The 6,105-nt window shown below is 41.0% G+C and overlaps 1 annotated feature.

Annotated features, from left to right (window-relative positions):
• Positions 4,024–4,560: an enhancer, noted in NCBI's record as "NANOG hESC enhancer chr4:148058402-148058938 (GRCh37/hg19 assembly coordinates)". NCBI's record gives its function as "activates a minimal SCP1, AML or CMV promoter by ChIP-STARR-seq in naive H9 embryonic stem cells {active_cell/tissue: H9 hESC(naive)}" and the evidence as "EXISTENCE:reporter gene assay evidence [ECO:0000049][PMID:30033119]".

Below are 6,105 nucleotides of genomic sequence, written 5' to 3'. Positions count from 1 at the left end.
CAGGCTTCATTATTCTATTTATAGATGACAGGCAGAGAATACTTGTAATAATTCTTTTGTGTGTGTGTGTGTGTGTGTGTGTGTATGTTATCAAGCTGAATCTAAGATTCCCACCAGACCATTATAGGCTTTTTATCATTGTTATCGTACTTTAAGTTCTGGGATACAGAACCTGCAGGTTTTTACATAGGAATACACATGCCATGGAGGTTTGCTGCACCCATCAACCCATCATCTACATTAGGTATTTCTTCTAATGCTATCCCTCCCCTAGCCTCCAACACCCCCCGACAGGCCCCCGTGGGTGATGTTCACCTCCCTGTGTCCATGTGTTCTCATCGCTCAACTCCCACTTATGAGTGAGAACATACGGTGTTTGGTTTTCTGTTCCTGTGTTAGTTTGCTAAGAATGATGGTTTCCAGCTTCATCCATGTCCCTGCAAAGGACATGAACTCATCCTTTTTTATAGCTGCATAGTATTCCATGGTGTATATGTGCCACATTTTCTTTATCCAGTCTATCATTGATGGGCATTTGGGTTGGTTCCAAGTCTTTGGTATTGTGAACAGTGCTGCAATAAACATACGTGTGCATGTGTCTTTATAGTAGAATGATTTATAATCCTTTGGGTATATAACCAGTAATGGGATTGCTGGGTCAAATGGTATTTCTGGTTCTAGATCCTTGAGGAATTGCCACACTGTCTTCCACAATGGTTGAACTAATTTACACTCCCACCAACAGTGTAAAAGCATTCCTATTTCTCCACATCCTCTCTAGCATCCGTTGTTTCCTGACTCTTTTTTTTTTTTTTAGACGGAGTCTTGCTTTGTCACCCAGGCTGGAGTGCACTGGCACGATCTCAGCTCACTGTAGGCTCCACCTCCCAGGTTCGCGCCATTCTCCTGCCTCAGCCTCCTGAGTAGCTGGGACTACAGGCACCCGCCACCACGCCTGGCTAATTTTTTGTATTTTTAGTAGAGATGGGGTTTCACCTCGGCCTGCCATAGTACTAGGAGTACAGGTGTGAGCCACTACACCCGGCCAGCATAATTCTTAAAGCTTTACTATATAGTTTTTGTATGTGACCCTCCAAACCTCATGTTGAAATTTGATCCCCAGTGTTGGAGGTAGGACCTGGTGGGAGGTGTTTGGATTGTGGGGGCCAGATCCCTCAGAATGGCTTGATGCTATCCTCACACTAATGAGTGTCTTCTTGCTCTATTCATTCCGTGAGAGCTGGTTGTTAAAAAGAGTCTGGTGCCTCCCTCCCCACTTGTGTTCTCTCACTCTCTCTCTCTCTCTTTCTACCTCTTTCTCCCCATGTGATCTCTGCCTGCTCCTGTTCACTTTCTACCATGAGTGGAAGCGGTCTGAGGTCTTCACCAGAAGCAGATGTTGGTGCTATGCTTCTTGTACAGCCTGCAGAACCATGAGCCAACTAAACCTGATTTCTTTACAAATTACCCAGATTTGCATATTTCTTTATAGAAACAGAAATGAACCAAGACAGAACCCTAGGACATTCAGAATGGTAAATGAGTATTGGCTTCGACTTAAAGTCACCAGTTGCATTCGCCTCTAACAAGAGAGTCAGCCTCTCTTTTGAGTCTTTGACTTCTCTTCTCTGGCTATAGAAGTCCTAAATGACGTCTTATTCCAATATAAAGCTATTTTATCTGCATTGAAAATCTGTTGTTCAGTCTAGCCACCTTTATCTATTATTTTAGTTAGATCTTCTGGATAAGTTGCTGCAGCTTCTACATCAGCATTTGCTGTTTCACTTTGCACTTTTGTGTTATAGAGATGGTTTCTTTTCTTAACCTCATGAACCAACCCCTGCTAGCTTCAAATTTTTCTTCTGCAGCTTCCTCACCTCTCTTAGCCTTCTTAGTATTAAGTAGACTTAGGTTCTTGCTCTGGATTTAGCTTCACCTTAAGAAAATATTGTGACTGGTTTGATCTTCCATCCAAACGACTCAAACTTTCTCCGTATCAGCAATAAGCCTGTTTTGTTTTTTTCTCATTCATGTGTTTGCTTGAGTAGCACTTTTAATTTCCTTCAAGAAGTTTTCGTTTGTATTCACAACTCGGCTAACTGTCTGGCTCAAGAAGCTTAGCTTTCAGCCTGTCTCGGCTTTCGATACGCCTTCTTCACTAAGCTTAGTAATTTCTAGCTTTTGATTTTAAGAAAGAGATATGCAACTCTTCCTTTTACTTGAACACTTAGAGGTTGTTGTGTGGTTATTAAATGGCCTAATTTCAGTTATTGTGTCTTAGGGAGGCCTAAAGAGTGGAAGAGAGATGGGGGAACCGCCAGTCAGTGGAGCAATAAAAACACAACATTTATAAATTAAGTTCACTGTCTTACGTGGGCATGGCTCCTGATGCTCCCAGATAATTACAAGAGTAACATCAAAGACTAGTGATCACGGACCACTATACCAGATATAATGATAATGAAAAAGTTTGAAATCCTAAGATGTGACATAGACACAAAGTGAGCACATGCTGTTAGAAACATGGCTCTCATAGAGTTGGCAGATGCAGGGTTGCCACAAACCTTCAATTTGTAAAAATTGCAGTATTTGTGAAGTGCAATAAGGCAAAGTGCAATAAAACAAGGTATGTCTGTATTTAATCAATATTTTCAGAAATGACTTGGGGCCTCACCAGGCTCATATTTCTCCCTTCTTACCTAGCAGTCCCTCTTTGGCCTGACACTGCCACTCCAGCCACCCTCAACTTGTGTAGGGCTTGTTATAGTCCATGTTTTCCTGATACCTATTTTCAAGACCTATAACTTAGTTATCTTTGTGTACCTGGTACCAGATGCAATGCCTGGCACAGAGTATTGCCCAATAAATACATATTAAATAAATAAGTGAAGATAGAGGTGCCCTCTTTGATCCAGGTCTATAATTTTTCTTTTCATGTTATACTTCAAAAAGGATTGCAGTCCTTTTCCTTATCCTATGCTTCCTCTTGTGAGAGTTTAGGAGTAGGAAGTTGCTTATCCTTATTATCATCTAGTATCTTTACCTGTGGTATGATCAATGGCAGGACACTAATTTTATCAGATCAGGTTCTACTTTGGCTGCCTCTATGGAGGTGTGAATCTCAAAAAAGTTGTGCCTTCTATAAGCTCTATTACATATGAAGCTGGAGGCAGCCTATTTCCTTGCTCTTTCTTCTATCAATACATTTGTCATTATCTTCATTCTCTCAGAAGTGACCTTACATGATCTTTCTCTTTTCTCTTATCTTATAAAACATATTTTGGTGTGTTTACTCACTCAGTTTTCCTCCCATCCCATTGATCATGAGAGCAAAATTGCATTAGACTGAAACAAGCCTGGCTCCCAGGACTGCTGACCAAAGGCAGTTCACAGCCCTGGGGACATCTTCTCCCCAGTGTTCAAACCTCACATTCCATTCTGGTCATGCTTTCCGTTGTTAATCCTGGCTTTAGATGAAGCCCAGCTTAGAAGCCAAGGATGTATTAAGTAGTTTCCAGTGATCAATTTTGCCTCTGATCTTTGATTGCAGATGTAGTTTTCAACCTATGCATATGAGTCATGTAAGTTGGCTATTTGATGAGAAGTAAGGGCACTATGTTATTTTACTTAATCGAGTGTTCATAAACTCCTTATAAAGTTGTGGCAATCTAGCAAAAATCCCCCAGTCATTTACCTTAGCTCATTAAGCAAAAATGTATGTTCTTTGTTTAGGGAAATGTCTTCTCAGGAGATTGTCTTGGAAATATTATTCTGAAAATGATGAAGACACAAATATCCCCACAAGAGAAGACAAACATAGCTTCTTGTGTGCCTATAAATGCTGTATTTTCTCTGGTTCAGTTGGCAAATGTGCATGGCATACCCTAAAACATCTATCAAATGTTCAGTCCCTGACAGACCCTTACCCAAAAGTAGCTAATAACTGTTCTTGTTATGCCTTTTGACAGCTAAGCCACAGGAGCTGCAGCGATCACCCAATTTTTTATTCTGGTCTTGCTCATGTATTCATTCAATACATATTTATCTTGTTCTTCTGGTGTCCCAAGCACTATTAGAGGTGCTGGAGATACATCAGTAAACTAGGTATGATTCTTGCCCATGACCAGTGGAGGCGGTTAGAAGACAGGTGATTAATAGAAAAAATATTAGAGAAAGTGTCAGGTGGAATATTTAAAAAGTGGATTATGTAGAGAATAACAGAGGGTTTGAGGAGGAGAGATTTTAGATTGTGAGGCTGGGAAAGGCTCTCCTAGGGAGACAACACTTAAGCTGATCACTGAGGACAGCGGGGAGCCAGCCAGCCAAAGATGACAGAAGGGCATGCCCCACAGTGGCTCAAAGTCAGACATAAGCTTGGTGTGTTTGCAGCAAAGAAAGAAGGCCTCCAAGTGGTGAGACTTCCGTGCTTTAAGATGAGGCCATATAAAGGAAGATAAGATGCTTGTGTTTTTATTTTAAGACACTGATGACCTCATGGCCTGGCTGCTCTGGGAAAATGGAGGCAGAGTGGATGAATGGAGGCCAGTTAGGACACTATTATAGGAATCCAGGCAAGAGAGGGTAGTGACTGGGATCAGGATGGCCACAGTGGGGATGGAGAGAACTAGGCAAATGAGGGAACTCTTTTATCAGAGAAGTTGACAGCAGTTACTCTTAGCTGCGATGTGGGGCTAAGGAAACAAGGGGACCCAGGATAATTCGCAAACATTTTTAAATTTCCTTTCTCTTCATTAGGCTTGTTGACTGTGCACTTGAAAACCTCGGAAGCTTCCTAAGAGTAAACCAGCTTTCGGTGTTCCAGGAAATAACCACAGGGAGCTTTCAAAACTAGGGGCCAAGGAACCAGTACTTCCCTCCAGTCTGGAGAGGTTGTGATTTATTTTCATTCATTGACGTTCATTTTAGTGAAGCTGTTTGGTTAACATAGAAATTTTTACAAATAATTGATAAGAGTTTTGTTTTAAAACTTGTATTTTATGGAAAGTGTGTAGCATTTCATCTTGAAATGACAACAATGACTCTCTGTCCTCAGCTTTTTGATTAAGGAGAGAAGTGTGAATAACATTTGTTTGGGGTTTTTAGCACTACTATGGTTACAGTGTGATGGTTGAAAATGTTCTATCCAGCACATTATTAGTTATTCCATTTCTTGATAAAGCAGACATTTACCAACAAGGCAGAGGCAGGGAGTGTGGTGGGGGTGGGGGAGGCCAAACTCTGTGAAACGCTTAACCTTTTAACATAGTTCAACAAAGTTTAGATTTCTGGCAAAACGCCTAGACTTTGTAAGGCTGTTCATGGTTGCAAAACCCGACAAGACCCTAGTGCTTAAATTATTCTGGCTCAAAAATTGAGACAATATGAAGAGAGCAAAGGGAAAAAACAAACACACCCTGATAGCTACAGCTGGGCTCATGGCACAGAGTAAGTAATTTGGAAAAGGATGCTGGAGGTGGTTGACTACAACCTACAGTTCTCCTTGGAGGTTTGTCAACTACCTCTGCCAAGAGAACAAATTCTACCCAAAGGGAAAGCAAGTTCGGCATGCAAGGTGAAGAAGGACCTTAAGAACACATGACAAACCAAATATGTCATACATTCGAGACAATCGCTTGTTTCCCAGAACCTCAGCGATTGTCCTCACAGAGAACAGCAGCAAAGATTCATCAAGGAATACAGGTGTTAAGCACTTTGCCTGAGAAGAGTTGTCTCATCCAGAAATGCAGATGTAGGTTATAATTGCTGACAGTGTCAATGACAGCATCTTCTAGCCAAAGAAAATGGGGAATTTGTAACTAGCCAGAAGTAATCACATATTTCCTTATACCGGCCTTTGTCTGGTATGTGTCAACATTTCCGTTGGTTTGAATTCCTAGGAGTTTGTCTAAAATTTGTTAGAACATATGGATCATTTGTAAATAAGAAAGCATAAAATGATAATTATGAAATAATTATGGATGAATGTAGTACAGTGGTTCCCATACGTGGTCCTCAGAACCCTAATTCTGAGGGAGGCGCTGTAGATGACAAAGGGATTAATTTAAGTATTAGTTCCTTGGTCAATAAAATTGGGAAGCTTCTGAA

This window comes from Homo sapiens, chromosome 4, assembly GCF_000001405.40.
Source record: "Homo sapiens chromosome 4, GRCh38.p14 Primary Assembly".
NCBI lineage: Eukaryota > Metazoa > Chordata > Mammalia > Primates > Hominidae > Homo > Homo sapiens.
This window is presented reverse-complemented; position numbering and strand designations above follow the sequence as displayed.